Here is an 18,821-nt window from a genome sequence, read left to right on the forward strand (position 1 = left end):
TAGTGCCCTTATGATTGAGGCCCCAGAAAGCTGCCTGCCCCTTCCACCACCTGAGGACACAGCTCACATGGTGCCATCTGTGAGCCAGAGAGCGAACCCTCCCAAGGCACCAAATCTGTGTCTGTCAGTGACTTGATCTTAATTCCAGCCTCCAGAACTATGAGAAATACATTTCTGTTGTTTAGAAGACACCCAATTTATGGTATTTTATTATAACAGCTCAAACAGACTAAGACAAATACCATATGTGTTGGACAACAAATCTAAGTATTTTCACATACTTGTTATTTTTCACATGACTACCATCTTATTGATGATAATACCAAGTCTTAGAGAGGTTAAGAGTCAGCTAGCAAGTCGAAGAGCTGGGCTTTAACTCAGGCCTTTTAAACTTTGGATATGAAATCTTCCTGAAATCTCTCTGCCTTCCAAGCTTCTTCTACCCTTGCCTCTACCACCTACACTCTCATGCACAGGGGGAAACAGCTTTCCTGATATATTAAGGCTTCAAGTTTTCCTATTTGCTGTTCCCCAGTGCCCTCATCCCCAACTCAAGTAGAACTAGCGCCTTTTCATCAGAGATGATGCTGAATACTGGTTCAAAATGCAAAAGCATCAAATTCTAGCTCTGGTGCTCCAGCCATGATTTAAGGGTGAGAAAACACCCTCACATTACCGGCAGATTGCTGAAGGCCTCTGGCAAGATGGAAGACAGGGCATCACAGGCGCTCGCCTGGAGAGTTGGGTGTTCTGAATTCTGCAGGGCTCTGGGTAAAGGACCGTTCAGCATCATAGTCCAGAACATCACCACCTGGAACGGAGGCAAAGTAAAAGCTGCAGCCCAAGACATAACAGGGGAACCAACTTGGAGCTAAGCCTACCAGAAATGGCCTTAGTGAAACATTTTCCCTTAAAGTAGCAGCTTTCTGTAAGTGTTTTCATTGGTTCTTCTTCCACAGTGATGTAAGGACTTTGGTTTAAGCCTCCCGTTCAACTCCTGTTGATTAGGAGACTGCGGTCTGATAAAGTTACGCAGCAACAGTGATAATAATCAAGAGGAGGCTGAAGATGATGATGACAGTAACAGCAACAGCAGCGGCAGCTAATGTTCTTCAGAGAGCTCATGCCATGCCAGGCATTGCTCTAAGTATTTTACAAGTATCAACTTATTTTATTCCTTGGCACAAATAAATGGGGTCTGTAGCATTATTCCTACTTTTTCACACAAGGAAACTGAGGCACAAAGAGACAATACAACTTGCTAATCTGCAGCAGGGGTGAACTAGAATCCAAATCAGTTGACAGTCGGCTAGGGCTTTTTCAACTACTTTGCAGAGTCTGTGTGATAATAAAATGTAATATTCTGTGTAAGGTTTCTAGTGCAGGGCCTGGTACACAGTGGACACTCTTAAATTGGGCAGTCGGTTCTGTTTTCAGCACTTTGAAGAACTACCTCACTTCACAGCCTCTAAAGTAGCCATGTCAACAGTTTCTTTTCCATGCTTTATACATATCCTGTGATTTCATGTTCATTTGTGAATCTCTGTGGTTTTGGTATGTTTTATTTCTGTTCCATGGACCTAGTCCTGGGTTTTGCTGTGTATGTCATGCACCAGTTCTGTCTTTCTCCTACTTCAGCTCCTGGAAACCCAGTCTGGGTCCTCCCTGCCCCACTCCAGAAGAATGTGGACAAAAAGTGGTTGCCAGTCTCCAGGATGGCACACAATTACAGTCACCTACTAATATTTACACCCTTGTGTAGTCCCCTCCCATACTGAACAGGCTGACCTGTGTAACCAATAGGATTGTTGTGGAAATGACAGCACGAAACCTCCAAAGCTAGGTCATAAAAAGCACCACAGCTCTGTCTTGCTTTCTTTCCCTTGGATCACTTGCTGTGAAGGAAGCTGGCTGCCATGTCAAGAGGATACTCAAGCAGCCCTCTGGAGATGTCCTCATGGGGAGGAAATGAGTTGAGGCCTTCTGCCAGCAGCCAACACTAATTTGCTAGGTCTATGGGTGAGCCACCCTGGAAGAGGATCCTCCAACCCCATCAAGTCTTGCAACCCGTCAGTTGACTGCAACCCTGGGGGCATCTTGATCCCAACCTCATGTGAGAACTAAGCCAGAATCACTCAGCCAAGCCACTCCTAATTCCTGACCCACAGAAACTGTGAGAAAATAAATGTACATTGCTTTAAGCTGCTAAATGCTTAATTTGTTACTCATTAATAGACAAGCAATGTAGAAAACATGACTTTTTTTTTTCACAGATGAACACTACCTGAGTGTGAACAGTTAAGAGGCTTGCCCAAAGTCATCTATCTAGCAAAGGGAGAAGTTTGAATTCAAACCTAGTTCTGTCTGATAACAAAGCTCAACTCACTTCCCTGCACATGTTATATGAAAGCTTTAGTGGCATTCTAAGGCAGGGACTAGGGTTAGAATCTTTAATTCACTGCAAGGATGACAGAAATTGTGAAGGGAAAAGAATAGGCAGAATGCAAAGGGCAGAGGGAGCAAAGACCACCAACACTGAGCTAATTTTGCTTTTAGCACTAAGTAGAAGCCTTTTTTGGTGTGGTCACATGCCCTTCATCCATCTTTGGAACTGGCACAGTGTAGGGGTAGCAGAAACAACCTGAAATCACAGGAATTGAATAGAATCGTGGAGGGGCTGGTGAGGGGCGGCGGGGACACGGGTAACGGAATTACCTCCTATGTGTTAGCATCTTTACATGTCATTTGATTTTTCAACAGCCTTGTGACTGAAGGGTTATGGTTTATTATTCCTTTTTTACAACTAGGAAACCATGCCTATAACCACATATCCATTAAGTGGCTGATATGGTTTGGATGTGTGTCCCCTCCAAATCTCATGTTGACATGTGACCTCCAATGTTGGAGGTGGGCCTAGAGGAAGGTTTTTGGGTGATGCAGGCAGATCCCTACTGAATGGCTTGGTGCTATCCTTGTGGTAATAAATGAGTTCTTACTCTGTTATTCACACGAGAGCTAATTGTTTAAAAGAGCCTGGCATCTCTTGCTTCCTCTCTCGCCATGTGACACACCTACTCCCCCTTCGCCTTCCACCATGACTGGAAGCTTCCGGAGGTCTCACCAGAACTAGATGCTGGCACCATGCTTCTCGTATAGCCTGCAGAACTGTGAGCCAGACGAACCTCTTTGAAAAATAAATTGTCCAGTCTGAGGCATTTCTTTACAGCAGCAGAAAAGAGACTAATACAGAAAATTGGTACCAAGGAATGGGGTGTTGTTATAAAGAGACCTAAAAATGTGGAAGCAGCTTTGGAACTTGGTACTGGGCAGAGGCTGAAAGAGTTTGGAAGGCTCAGAAGACAGGAAGACAAAGGAAAGTTTGGAACTTCTTAGAGACTGATTAAATGGTTGTGACCGAAATGCTGATAGAAATATGGAGAGTGAAAGCCAGGCTGAGGAGGTCTCAGATAGAAATAAAAAAGTTTGAAGAACTGGAGGAAAGGTCACCTTTGTTACACCTTAGCAAACTTGGCTGCATTATGCCCATGTCCTAGGGATTTGCATAAGGTTGAACTTAAGAGTAATGACTTAGGGTATCTGGTGAAAGAAATTCTAAGCATCATTCAACAGGTGATGTGGCAGCTTCTCACAACCTATAGTCGGATGTAGGAGTAAAGGAATGACTTAAAGTTGGAACTTATCATTACAAGGTTAGCAGAGCATAAAAATTTGGAAAACTTGCACCCTGGCCCTGTACTAGAGAAGGAATCCAAGCTCGGAGCAACCACTTGCTAGACAGATTAGCACGACTAAAAGGGAGCCAGGTGCTAACAGCCAAGACTACGGGAAAACAGCCTGGAGGGCATTCTAGAAATCTTTGAGGCAACCCCTCCCATCACACACCCAGAGGCCTAGGAGGAAAGTGGTTTTGGAGGCCAGGCCCAGGGCCCCACTTCCCTGCACAGCCTTGGGGCACTGCTCCCAGCATCCCCAGCCTTGGCTCAAAGGGCCCCAGATACTGCTCGGTTTTCTGCTTAGTGGGTACAGGCTGTAAGCCTTAGCAGTTTCCATGTGGTGTTAAGCCTGCAGATGCACAGAATTCAAATGCGAAGAAGGCTTGGGAGCTTCCACCTAGATTTCAGAGGATTCCCTAAGCCTGGGTGCCCATGCAGAAGCCTGCCACAGGGACAGAGCCCCCACTGAGAGCCTCTACTAGGGCAGTGCCAAAGAGAGATGTGAGGTTGGAGCCCCTACACACGGTCTCCACTGAGCACTGCCTAGTGGAACTCTGGGAATGGGACACAGCCTACACCTAGCAAAGCCAGAAGGGCAAGGCTGCCAGAAGCCTTGGAAGCCCACCCCTTGCACCAGTGTGCACTGGATGCGGGACATGGAGTCAAGGACTATTTTGGAGCTTTAAGGTTTAATGTCTGTCCTGCTGGGTTTTGGATTTGTGTGGGGCTTGTTGCCCCTTTCTTTTGGCTGATTTCTCCCTGTTGGAATGGGACTGTTTACCCAATGCCTGTACCACCATTGTATCTTAAAAATCAGTAACTTGTTTTTGATCTTACAGGCTCATAGGTGGAAGGAACTTGCCTTGAGTCACAGCTGAGACTTTGAACTTTTGAGTGATGCCGTAAAGAGTTAAGACTTTGGGGAACTATTGGGAGGAGGTGACTGTATTTTACAGTGAGAGGAACATGAGATTTGTGGTGGCCAGAGGCAGAATGATATGGTTTGGATGTGTGCCTCCTCAAACCTCATGCTGAAATGTGACCTCTAACACTGGAGGTGGGCCTAATAGGAAGTGTTTGGGTCATGGGGGTGGATCCCTCTTGAATGGCTTGGTGCTGTCCTTGTGGTAATGAGTGAACTCTCACTCTATGAGCTCATACGAGAGCTGGTTGTTTAAAAGAGCCTGGCATCTCCCTCTTGCTTACTCTCTTGCCATATGACATGCCTGCTCCCCCTTTGCCTTCCACCAGGATTTAAAGCTTCCTGGGGCTTCCTCAGAGGTAGATGCTGGCACCATGCTTTTTGTACAGCCTGCAGAACTGTGAGCCAGATAAACCTCTTTTGCATAAAAAACTAGGTTTTATGCAAAAGAAATATTAGTTTTACTATTGCTGGTTATATGTTATACATAAGCCTACCACAAACTAAACTGCAAATAAACTGAAATGTAAAATAAAACCAATTTATACTAGTTTCATGTTTTCCTGGATTATAAAACATAATTTTTGACACTGGAAGAAACCATATCATCTACTCCATTTATCACTGAGCTTCAAAATAAAACTGCAACTGAAGCATTAATAAAAGAAAACTATGAATTGACATTTATTTACCAAGAAGACTGGTGCTCTCTGATCAGGTGCTGCAGTGGAGTCTGGTTTATACTGCTGTATTAAGCCTGTGCCCAGTTCTTCCAGAAGCTGCCAAGAAAAAGAATTACCGAAGTGGAGCATCAGAACTAATGAATGACTTCACTTGAGTAACACCTTCACTCTAGTAACACCTTCACTCTAGTAACACCTCCACTCGAGTAACACCTTCACTCGAGTGACACCTTCACTCTAGTAACACCTTCACTTTAGTAACACCTTCACTTGAGTTTGGAGATCGCCTCAAATCAAGGGGAAACATAATTTGCAACTAATTTTCTTTCTTTTTTCAGTCACTGTTAACAGAGGCATTCTTTCAAGGACTGAAATCAACAGCTATATCTTATTAATTTGTTACTGAGTCAATGCGTGGGGTTTATATGTAAGAGCCGAAAACAGAAGAATGCATGTCCTCCTTACCTGAAATCTCTTTAAGAAATCTCAGAATTGAAGGACATGTGGCAGAAGAATATAAAGTGAAGAAAAGGAAGGATATAAAGTGAAGAAAAGGAAGGATATAAAGTGAAGAGAAGGAAAAAGCATTGTGGTTTTGATGAAAATTACCTTTGCTCCATGAAGCTGAATGGATGGATCTGCTTCCCCCATGCACTTGCAAATCACCTCTCCAAGCTCCATCAAGTAGGCTTGAGTCATTGAAAAGTAGCCCCTTGCCAGAAGAGTCAATACCTGCAAAGAGAGCATGGAATTAACCCTCTAAGACCTGAGTGCAAGGCTGCAATATCCAGAAAAGTGTTACAATATTTCAGAAATCGCTTACATTTAACAGGGGCTGAAATCTGTTGAATGAAATTAAGAACCATAATCTTTATTTTGTGACTAACATCAATAAACTGTATCATAGTTTTATGGTGCTTTAGTATATGATTGCTTTTCATTAACAGAATCTCATTTAAGTCTTGGAACTATTCTTTAAAGTAGGTATTAACTGAATTTTACAACTAAAGAACCTAAGCCTGACAAGATGAAAGGACATGCTTCATGCTGCCCAGTTAATCAGCAGCAGACCTCAGGACCAGGCCTAGTCTCAGATCATATTTGTATAGAAAAAGTAAACTCTTTTATCTAGGATTGTTTTCTTCCTTTGAAGGAACAATTATTTTGTTACTCTAAGCAGGTACAAGACCAAGGAAAAGCTTATAGAGAATTAAACATTTAAGTTGCAAAAATCAAAAATTAACTGTACAATTTCACTCAGAATTATTCTACAATCTATTACATCCACTTGTCATATAATACCTGAAGGGACTAAAATAATTTGCAATCAAAGAACAAAAAGGAATGAATCTGCTATTTTACAACCAAAGAACACCTCCCCAAAACAAAACAACAACAAAACAATACACCACCCATACCTAAAATACAATTCCCACGAACACAATTGACATATGGCTTGGTTTTACCTGCTCGCTCCTCACAGTCACTCTGAAGGAGGAATGGTTACTTCCATTTCAGAGATGAGGAAATGAAATCTCCTACCTGTAAGGCCTCCAGTCGCATGGGGGATGGTTCGTAGGTGCTTCCTGCTGCAGAGCCAGCATCGCTACCTGAACAGGAATCCTCCTTGGGCAGTACGACAATGGAAATGCAGAGTCGAATGAGCCAGCAGGGCTCTGAAGACCCCTTAGGTGAGCTAACTGACGTTTCTTCCAGAGAGGGTCCTGCAGGGGCTTTCTTCCACCAATCAGGAGGGCTGAGGTGAGGGGTTGCTGAATTGCTATTACCGAGTCCAGAAGAACATGGCTGTTGCAGAAGTAGTTGGACTTCAGGTAAAGGTGCGTGGGTGGACACTATAGCTCCCAAGAGTGTGAGACTTGACACACGAACATTAACATCTGTCAAAGGAAGCAGTAAGAACTTATCATCATGGCAACAACTACTGTAAAGATGGTAGTTATCCCAGCAGGCAATTAAAAATTAGTAGTTCCTTGTGTAACCTGAATCTAATCAAACTTCTAGACCTCATTTCCAGTTTGGAAATACATGGGACAGGAGAGTAAGTTAACACCATAAAGAAACAATCTGACAAATTGAGAATGTGATTTATTTTGTTATCTTTGGTGACAGAGCTTAGAGTTCACATTCTATAAGACAATTGGGTTGGATTCTTTCCTAAGTCAGTTTGATATAAAAAAGATGGGTGGGGGGACTCTACATTTAAAAAGACTACAGTGACATAATAACTAAATGCAATGCATGTACCTTGAATGAACCCCGGATTTTAACAAGAAATATTTTTAAAAAGCTAAAAGGTCTGTGTCTAGACTCATTTTTTTTTTTGCATGTGATGTCCAGCTGTTCCAGCACCAATTGTTGAAAAGTATCTGCTCCTTTGTTGTAGATCAGTTGACTATATTTATGTGGGTCTATTTCTGGGCTCTCTATTCTGTTCCATTGATCTGTTTGTCTCTTCCTTGGCCAGTATCACACTGTCTTAATTACTGTAGTTTTATAGTAGATTTTGAGGTCAGGGAATGTCAGTCCTTCAGTTTTGTTCTTCTCTATCAATATTGTGTTGGCTATTCCAGGTCTTTTGCATATCCATATATATTTCAGAATCAGTTCATTGATATCTGCAAAATAACTTGCTGGAATTTTGATTGAGACTGCACTGAATCTATAGATCAAGTTGGGAAGAAGTAACATCTTCACAATATTGAGCCTTCCTATCCAGGAATATGGAATCTCTGTCCATTCATTTAGTTCTTTATTTGATCAGAGTTTCACAGTTTTCTTCATATAGATCTTGTACATATTTTGTTAGGCTCATACCTAAGAATTTCAGGGTTTGAACATTTTAATGAAAAAAAGTTACTTGAGGATAAAGTCAGATACTTGAAAGGAAACTTTGAGGCATGGTGCACTCTCCTCAGCTGAAGATGCAGATAATGAAAAGTTGGTACAGTGGAATGAGCAGGGGTTGTTCTCATCTTATTTCTGCCATGAATGTGATGGGAAACCTTAGGGTAAGACTTATCTTTCTGGGTCCCTTTTTTACATATTAGTGTAAGTAGTGAACTGGACTTAGTTACATCTCATTATCTCATTTGAGCCTCATAAAAATCTTATGATGTAGTTATAATTCTTGCTGTTAGGAAGAAATTAGGGTTCAGAGAGGGTCATGGCCATGAGATGGCAAAAATGGGAGTGGGATCCAGACCCTTGGATTGACTTCAGGTCCCATGCTCTTCCCACTATGTCACAGAAAACATCCACTATTCCTTCCTTGTTACAATTCTGCCTGAAAAACTGAACTCATCAGAATGTGGTCCGATCTGAAAGCTTGCAAACAAAAGAAAGGCAAATCTACAAAAGGCAAGTGTTTATAGCACAAATACATTATGTGTAGGAGGAAATAATAAGACTGCACTTAGTAAAGATTTGAAGTTCTGGGGTTTTATCTGAACTTCATAGGAAATAACAATAAAGAAGTTAAATTTTGTATTCCAGTTTTTCTTTCCAAAAAGTAGATAATATCTATCTGTCCGTCTGTCTGTCTATCTAACCATCCATCCATCCTCTACCTATGTGTAAGGGATATAAACAATCATACTCCTCAGGGGGGCTGCTTGCACCTGGCTCAATCTTAATTCTAAAGGGATACTCTGGTCACTGCCCTGAGCATTAAACAGGCAAACTTTACAATTAATCCTCTAGCTCACTTCCACTGGGACTTGAGGGGTCAATTCTTGCAACAGCTTATACCCCTGAAAAGTTGAGAAGAATAAGCAGAGATCTCTTAAGAGTTGTAAAAATGCTTTGAATATATACATATATCTATATCTGTATATTTTTACTAATAGTCTGCATCTGACTGATACAAAGAAGCCATCAGTTTTAAGCCACTACAAACCTTTGTGGCGAATATAAGGCTTTATCTGGTTCCAGACTTTGGTCAGCAGGCTGAGTTTTAGACGATCATAAGGTGCATTTGATACTAAATTTGCAAGGCACTGTAAAACACAAAAAGTAGCTCATCAAAAGGCTTGATTAAACCACAGCATAGAACAAATTTTGCAGCATTTAATTAAAAAAGAAAAGTTTTCACACAACTAAAAATTAGCCCCCCTTTTTTTTAATAACACTTGTATTCTCATTGGTACAACTAAAGATAAAGAAGTATTTTTAGCAAATCATTTATTGGGACATACAGAGATTATAGATAAGATCAGACGAGTAGGTACAGACTTCCAAATAGTGTATTTTTAATAAAACTATTACTTAGTTATATTCTTAAGTCAAGTTACTTTTGAGCTATGTAAAACAGTATACAAAATTAAAACAGAGAAGCCTGCTCTGGAACCCACAGTTGGTACATTACCTTAATTATCTGAGTAACGGTCTGTGAGGATGACTCCGCCACCAAAGCTAACAAAAGACATCTGTGCAACTCTCTAATGCTGCAAGCGATCATTACGGAGAAGGGGGTAAAAGCCCTTCTGTGGTCACTGGTATCTTCAGCAACAGAAAGAAACTGCTTTGAGCCTTCCAAGATGGCAGATAAAACTTGCAGAGCACAGGCACGTGTCTGAAATTTCGGGATGATTCACATTGATTAGTTGAAAATTAGGAGTCAGATTCCCTTCTTCCTATACATATTTAATGTTCAAAGTATTTACAATCATTTTAATTGGAAGAATAAAGGCAATGGGATTATCTGTTAGTTCCTAAAAACTAGGCCACTTGCGTCCCACACCTAAAAAAAAATCTTTATTTTATTTTTATTTTAGAGACACAGTCTCGCTCTGTCACCTAGGCTGCAGTGCAGTGGCGCAATCATAACTCACTGCAGCCTCAAACTCCTGGGCTCAAGCAATCCTCCCACGTCAGCCTCCCAAGTAGCTAGGACTACATGTGTGCCACCACACCTGGCTAAAAAAAAATCTAGAAACCCATTGCTGTTAGGTGTTTTACAGTAAGAAATAAATCTAAGCTACACCATAGCACAAAAATCTGAAATCCTAAGCATGAGAATAAGAATTAGAGGCCTGGTTTATTCAAGCAGAATGCCAACTGAAAAGTTAGAACTAAACAGCCCATGGGGTAGAAAAAACACATGTGCCTAGAGTCTGTTTCCTATTAAAGTTCCTGAGAACATTATGCCTCATATTCCACTCTGAAGTATGTGTGTTCAATGTTAACTTAAATAGGACTTTAGGAACTTTGTGTACATACTGCTTGGCAGACATCATTAGTGATCCAACTTTCAGAAACAGTCTTAGGTACAGGAAATAACACTGCCTGCAGTGACAGTATTTGACAATTCAAAAAAGGAATACCATTAAGTACAATCTTATGAATGGAAAGGACAAAAAGAACATCTTTGTCATGGACTGCTGTATTTGTTAGGAAAGGTGTCACTGGCACCAAGATTTTCTTTATAAGGTTGAAAGATTACTTTCAATTGGTACTCAGATGATTTTGTAGTATTAGAAAGGAAAAGAAAGCCCAACTTTACAAAAATGGGATATAGGTAATAAGCATAGGACTATTAATACGGAATAATATTGTACTCTCTTAGGCCAGCTCATCCAAAAATGATAATTAACATTTTCAGTCAAAAAATTTAAAAGCAGGGAACCAACATTACAATTCTAGAATCTAACCTAAATAGTTACTCAATATGAAGCATATCTGAGTTTGGAGCAAAAAAGGTTTTCCCAAAAGCCTTCAATTATATTATCTCCAAACAACCAGGTAATAAATCACCAGGCAGGCCTTTTATAGAGTGGAGTCGTAGAAATCTAGACTTATTGCTCTGAAGAGAAATTTGAAGTACAGTAGCATCAGACTTCAGAATTAAGCATAATCCCCTAAGGTGGGAAATTGACAATGTATTAGGAAACCGTGTGTATATGTGTGAAAAAACGAGAGAGCGAGAGCATGAACACAAGTCAGCTGATCCAAAAAGGACTTAGATCAGGGGCTGGCAAACTTTTCTGTAAAGAGCCAGCAGTAAACATTTTATATTTTAGACTTTGTGGGCCAGTTTCTGTCACAACCACCCAACTCTGTGATTGTAGCATAGACATGTAAAGGAATAAACGTGGTTGCGTTCCAAAAAGACTTGATTTACGGACAATGCAATCTGAATTCCATATAATTTTCACATATCACGAGATATTATTGTTTTATTTTAAAACCATTTAAAAGTGTAAAAACCATTCTTAGCTAACAGGCTGTACAAAAACAGGTGGTGGGCCAGATTTGCCCTACGGGCCACAGCTGGCCAATCCCTACTAGAGGCTCGTCCGAACTCAACAAGATAGATCTTATGCTAAACCTTCATTTCTTTAGAAGACAATTAAAAATCACAATTCCAACAGCTCACAAACTGAATGAAATTAAAAATCGAATGGAAAGAAATGAACTAATGTTCCAAAAGTCAAAAATTTTAGCACAATTTTGGCATCTTAAGGGGAAAATCATGACTATCACAGATGAAAACAAATGTCATTGAAATTGGTTATTTTTTTCCACTAAGTTACAAAATCTATATAGAAATTTGATACTATATCAAATTGTACTTCTCACAGTTCTGAGTTAATTTCCTTTAAACTCTGTTTAACATATCTTTGTTGTTATAATTGTTACTTAAGATACTGAATCTGGTACAAGTTTTGCTTCTTTTGCTCTTATATCAATATTTAATATCTGGTTTACCAGTCCTAATCAGCACTTTCAGCAGAAATTACTAACGTGCAAGTAAATCATAACAGGTGTAGCTCTTCAGAGAGCTCATTTTGTTAAGTTTTCATTGTCTGAATATTTAAAATGATGAATGAAAGGCTTTTCAGTCTTACAGAAGTCAGTGTGCTTGGTTTTACTAGTGTATAGTTTCACCTCCTTGGACATGAAGACTTGTCTAAAGCTAATAAAACAGAAAAGTACTTTTCCTTTTTTGCTACTTAAGAACGTAGCACAAATGTTTGCTGAGGTAGCCTAGTCAATCCTAATTTTTTTCCTCTTTATGTGTGTTTGGTCTCAGAATATTTCTGGAAGGGTGACAAAGAAGTCCCTGCTGGGAGTAGGTACATTGAAGTTTCCATGCAGGGCACATGACTGTTCACATGTTATTTTATTGGATCTCACTTCCAAAGTCAGTTGTCTTTTACGTAACAGCATTTCAACATTGTGTCAGGGACTCTGGGTTGGGAGGTATCTAAGTGATATGGTTTAGCTGTGTCCCCACCCAAATCTCAACTTGAATTATATCTCCCAGCATTCTCACGTGTTGTGGGAGGGACTTGTGAGAGGTAACTGAATCATGGGGGCTGGTCTTCCCCCTGCTATTCTCGTGATAGTCTCACGAGATCTGATGGGTTTATCAGGGGTTTCTGCTTTTGCTTCTTCCTCATTTTCTCTTGCTGCCACCATGTAAAGAAGTGCCTTTTGCCTCCTGCCATGATTCTGAAGCCTCCCCAGCCATGTGGAGCTGTAAGTCCAATTAAACCTCTTTTTCTTCCCAGTCTCGGGTATGTCTTTATCAGAAGCGTCAATACAGATACACTAATTAAAGACTGCCTGTTCTTTGCTAATACACTAAGCAAAGATTGCCTGTTCTTGGCTGGCCATATGAGAGAAAATCTACCATTCCATAACAGTTAACAATTCCAACCTTTTCATTCTCTTTTCTAGTTATACCACTATTATCTAGATTTCGATTTGTTTTCACTTTTTATAGTTATCTGAAACAGCAATAAATCATCATCATGAAATTTGTAAATCAGGATAATTCTCAAGGTACCAAGACAAAGGTTTGCCCTGTAGTTTGTTTCTTAAGACAAGTCTTGATGATATTCTCCATAATATGCGTTTATAACACCTAAGGAAATCATATCCAAGAAATTCTTAAATTAGTCTTGTTATTTTTATTGATAATTTGTTCTGTCCCTTTTGGAAGTGTATAAGATGTGCTCTATGAAGCACATTTCCAACATGGAAATGTGATCATTTCCCAAGTACCACAGCACTGCCAAATCCGAATGGACATTTCTAAGTTTTCTTCTCCCCAATTAACCATTCTAGCATATTATGTTTCAATTTCCTAAAAGTAGCCTCTGTTTATTGTTGGCATTCTGACTGGAAGAGTCTAATCACCTTTCCTTCTGTCCATTTGTCTTTAGAAAATTTCTTAGTACACCAGTTAAAATTGTGCTTCCAGCTGAGTATGCCATGGGTCATATCAGACCTGCCATAAACTCAAAACTAATCACTAAGCACTTCAATGACAAGATAAACTACAGTTGTCTTATTTAATCCTGGCTAAGAGGAACTCCAGCCATCTAACTCTATATGCACAAGGAGCACCTGAGATGACCACTTGGCCTGGAGTCATGGCAGCTCTTTTAACCTGGTCAATCCAGAATGCTGTTCCATTCTAATTACATGATCTGTTATTTTTAATTTTAATGCACATAACTTTCTAGAAGTCTTTATTTTAAAAGCCTGTCCCACTGGGCCGGGTGCGGTGGCTCAAGTCTATAATCCCAGCACTTTGGGAGGCCAAGGCAGGCACATCACCTGGGGTCAGGAATTCCAGACCAGCCTGACCAACATGGAGAAATCCCATCTTTACCAAAAATACAAAATTAGCCAGGCATGGTGGTGCATGCCTGTAGTCCCAGCTCCTCGGGAGGCTGAGACAGAATTGCTTGAACCCGGGAGGCAGAGGTTGCAGTAAGCTGAGATCTCACCATTGCACTCCAGCCTGGGCAACAAGAGCAAAACTCTGTCTCAAACAAACAAACAAACAAACAAACAAAAGCCTGTCCCATGACATCACCTACCACAACACTTTTTTCTAGCATATGTCTTGGTGCACAGTTAATCACACTATGGACAGACTGCAAAGGTATGCTCCAAGCTCTGTTGTAAACAATAATTACCACACTTATTTAAACCCTTCCAAGCTAACACTTGATTAAAAGAATCTCTTAAGTACGATCATTTCACTTGCCATTACACTGAACTAATTTAATTTCTTTCATCTTTTAAAATCCACTTTAAGTAGGATGACTTTTTTTTTTTTTTCTCTAGGATTTTCTTGTGGCTTTTTGTACTGGATCTACAACATCTCCAGAAGGAAGTTCTGTATCTTTTTTCCTCAGCACATCTCTTGCATTCACCAAAGTTAAACAGCAAGAACAAGTCTAAAAGGTACCTAAATCAAGGAGATGGATAAGACCACTTTGCAATAGGTGAAATTTCTCATGGCACTTTAAGTGAAATGTAAACATTTAAAAATATATGAAGATATAAACATCATGAAAATTATTCCAATTCATTTTCATCAGCTATGACCTCATAACCTTTTTGTATTCCTGTTCTAAACCCCCGTGTCCCACATCCCCTTGGCTGGGCAGCTGTGATAAAGGTGATAAAGCTGGGCTGCTTCTTGCTCCACAGCACCATCTCGTTGGCCACTGCTGGCAGCTCCCCTAGCTGGAGGGTCTTCAAATATATATTTTCAATATTTTTAGTAGCTTTTATTTCAATTACTCTAATGGCTTCATTACTGATTTATTTGCCACCACTCATTTTTCCATTTTTCTCCTAGGTTCTCATTCACTATTGATTTAGTTAATTTGTAAAATTTCTGCCAGTTTAATTTCCTAGGATAAGGAGTATTTGAAATACCCCACAAGTCATTTTTTTGCGTGTATATAAAATTGAGGCTAATTTATTTTTCTTTACCTTGTAAAAGCTTCTGATGGGTCATCCAGAAATTTTCTTATATAGTAAGTTACTCAAGGAGATGACTCATATGGAATTCCAACGTATTGTGGGTTACCACCCCTGACCCCTTAAGGAATAATCTTAAAAACAGAAAAGGAACAATATGCTGTTGGCCTAATTAAAACTCCTCTTTGTGGGTAGCTGGTTACCTGAGGACACCCAGATGCCATTCAGCATGACTTTTTAATGTTCATTATTGTAAACAGCAGGCTATTTTCCTTACTTGGTTAAGTGGCTAAATTCTGGAGAAGAATTAACATATTCAAGCGAGGCAAATATTTGATAAGCCATGAGATATCTTGCTATAGCTATCCATGCCTGCCAATCATTTTTTTCTTCTTTTTAAAAATAAGTTTTTCTCATTAAAATATGTAAATATTTATTACACATGATTTGAAAACTAGAAAAGTTGCAAGAAAAAATCATGTTTGGGATCCTACTGTATACATAATTCTATATCCTGTGTTTTCACAGAACATTTTGGGCATTTTTCTAAGCCTTATGCATCCTTCATAGCCATTATGTACCATGATATTCTACTGAGTTGTTTAAGCCATTTCTGATGTTTTCTTATTATAAATACCACAGCAATCAACATTTTCATAAAAGGAAGAGAAGCACAGCTGCTTCAGTGCAGTTCAAGGGAGACACCAAAGTTAGAATTCAGTGTGCTCAGGCTTCAAGCAAGCCCTGGGGCAGGAAGCGATCCTACATGATCAGCCTCAGTGTATTATTCACATAAGCCCACTTCCTATTTTCCTGTCTGTCCAGTGGTCAAGTCGGAACTTGGGTCAGTGTTACTAAGAGCTATATTCAGATCAGACAGGATAAGGCAGAGATAACAATAAGGATCTGTAAATTTTTTCTTCCTATTATAAAGCTTAGAGTTTAAATTCTCTTACCTTTGGAGAAGGGTCTTTCAATGTAAGAGTCATCAAGGACACTGACTGTGGGCTGCCAAGTTCAGGCGTATCAGGAATAAAAGCTGACCAGTAGCCATAAAGAACTTTTTTTTCTATCGATTTTATAGTAGAAAGAAAACAAACTAAGGCTCCTTGGCGAACTTTAGCTTGGTAAGACCTTTCATAACCAAGAGAAAAAAGAAAAAACACTTAAAAAATCATTTTTTTAAAAAAAATGCAAACATGAAATGGTATTTATTTCCACCAATTCAAATGATACATTCAAAAATTAAACATTCTAAATAATTCCTAAAGATGTCAATGTGTTATTAAAAATTTTTCTTTCAAACTACAATCAAAACATGTTAAGACAATTTGTCTCTATAACAAGTTATTAAGGCTGACAATTAAAAAACACAACTGGAGAACAAGAGGGCAACATTTTGATATCAGGACACTGGTGTTAGACATGAAACACTGCCGAGTATCCATCCATCCATTCAACGAATATCTACTGAATGACCTATGTATGTGCCAGGCATCATGCTGAGGCTGCCAGACATAAACAAAGCCCCAGCCTTGACAAGCTAGGCAGCGAGGGACAGTTAAGGAGATAACTATCACATGTTACGAATAACACCAAGGCAGAAAAGGCTTCCCGGGGAATATGATTTCTGAGCCCATATCAAAGATGAGTAGTGGTTAGCAAGACGAAAAGGCAAAAAAGAATATTCTAAGGAGAGGAATGACATGTGCAATGGCAGATCAAGAGAACAAGTCGGCCGGGCGCGGTGGCTCACGCCTGTAATCCCAGCACTTTGGGAGGCCGAGGCGGGCGGATCACGAGGTCAGGAGATCGAGACCATCCCGGCTAAAACGGTGAAACCCCGTCTCTACTAAAAATACAAAAAATTAGCCGGGCGTAGTGGCGGGCGCCTGTAGTCCCAGCTACTCGGGAGGCTGAGGCAGGAGAATGGCGTGAACCCGGGAGGCGGAGCTTGCAGTGAGCCGAGATCCCGCCACTGCACTCCAGCCTGGGCGACAGAGCGAGACTCCGTCTCAAAAAAAAAAAAAAAAAAAAAGAGAACAAGTCATGTTCTGAATAACACCATGCCCCCCAGAAATCAGGCTCTTCAAGTTAAATCACATGCAGCATTCAGGTTAAGTTATAAACTTACATGCAACTTAGAATACAAGGTATAAAAATGTAACAAAATACTACTACCTCATTTTACTCTGCATGCCTCCTTCAGCATCAGAAAAGTCTGACTCACTACTGCTGACCCTTTTCCAACTGGAAGAACTGAAGGATGAGGAGACTCCATCTTTTTCTGCAGCTCCACTTCCATCTAAAGGCAAACTCTGGACACCCAGGGAGGAGGGACACCAAGTGTTCCCTTCATGCAGGTTCACTCTGCCTGTGCCAGTGACTGGGGCTGCCTCTATTTCACCACTGGATTCCTTTTCCTCCTCCTCTCCTTGCTGGATTTTCTTTGGTTTTACTTTGGATTTTTTCTTTTTATTCTGATTGTGGGAGCAAATGAAGACATATATAATAACTACTTCAGAATGGCTTTTCACTGAATCGTTACTTCTTCATTTTAAAGTGACTAAATATGTCCCCAACATGTAGTTTAAAGAAAGAAGAAAAGAGAAAAGAAAAAAGTGTAACTTCATTAATACCCTAAACATCAGGCATGATGCTAAGTGCTTACTGTCTACTATAAGAAAGAAGGAATGAAATACATGAGACACAGTTAAACACGTGGCCTGGGTTTAAATTGTACCTCTGTGCCTTGGGGCAAATCATTTAGCCTCTCTTGAGCTTGACCTTGCTTATCTGTAAGTATGCGGCTAATACCTCCTACCTTGCACATGTGTTGTGAAAGTATTCAGCCTTCTCAACTGGAATTTCTCAAGAGCATTAAAGCCTATAGAAAATGACTTGAGTGTCTATTTTATCAGTTCTCCGAGTAAGATACATAGCTAGTACCACTCCACATGCCTGCACAGAAGAGACGGTAGTCTATTACATACAATGCTCATTTCAGGGCTTTGGGTCTCTGTAGAAGTAGATACTAAGTAGAAGCCAGTTTCTTTCTTTCTCCCTGTTACTTTCTTTCTGATATCCAAGTATATCTGGAATCTGTGTCTTCCTCCACGTTCTCAAAGTCTGTGGCCTTGAGGAAGGAAGTTCCCATTACTTCTATCTTGGACTACTTATTGTGGCCCCCAGATCCATATTCTTTTATTTGCTATCACAGTGATTTTTCTGACACAAATCTGATCACATCATTCCCCTATATAAGATTCTTTAATGAATCTCTATTGCCTACGAGATAAAAACCCAAACTACTCAGCCTCCTGTACAAGAATCTTATCATTCGGCCTCTGCTACACAACGGCTCCACTCTTTCTCTCCCCGCACTGAAACTCTAGTCCTACTAGTTAACAAATGGGCAATATATACTCTCATTCTCTATGTCTATGCACCTTTTGGTTTATCTGCTTGAAACACTCATTCCTCCTTGTCTGTACTGCTACTCACTCTGAAATCTCTGTTTAGCTACCACACCTTTAAAAAGCCTCCTCTTCCCCCTCCATTTAGACTGAGTGTCCTCAATGTGTTCCCAGAGTACTCTGTGAATATTCTAATGAGAGAAACAATAATATTGCATTGTAGTTGTTTATTTATCCATCTTTGCCTTCTCCCTCAAACTCCTAAAAGCAGCCAGAGTCTATATACTTAGTGCTTAGCACAGCGTCTGGAACACAGCAG

General features: G+C 40.1%; 1 protein-coding gene and 1 pseudogene across 1 annotated transcript in view; both read right to left on the reverse strand.

Moving 5' to 3' along the window:
* Positions 1-18,821, reverse strand: part of HEATR6 (HEAT repeat containing 6) — a 37,914-nt gene that overhangs the window by 9,159 nt on the left and 9,934 nt on the right. Inside the window, exons 8-15 of the mRNA NM_022070.5 lie at positions 17,268-17,566; positions 16,043-16,220; positions 9,724-9,930; positions 9,256-9,355; positions 6,882-7,237; positions 5,949-6,071; positions 5,349-5,435; positions 677-811 (exon numbers count right to left, since the gene is read on the reverse strand). Coding sequence (NP_071353.4) covers positions 677-811; positions 5,349-5,435; positions 5,949-6,071; positions 6,882-7,237; positions 9,256-9,355; positions 9,724-9,930; positions 16,043-16,220; positions 17,268-17,566 — 1,485 coding nt within the window. The remainder of the gene's footprint in view (positions 1-676; positions 812-5,348; positions 5,436-5,948; positions 6,072-6,881; positions 7,238-9,255; positions 9,356-9,723; positions 9,931-16,042; positions 16,221-17,267; positions 17,567-18,821) is intronic.
* Positions 12,838-13,843, reverse strand: LOC100422693 (polypeptide N-acetylgalactosaminyltransferase 1 pseudogene; annotated as a pseudogene).

The sequence above is a fragment of the Homo sapiens genome, chromosome 17, assembly GCF_000001405.40.
Source record: "Homo sapiens chromosome 17, GRCh38.p14 Primary Assembly".
Taxonomy (NCBI): Eukaryota; Metazoa; Chordata; class Mammalia; order Primates; family Hominidae; genus Homo; species Homo sapiens.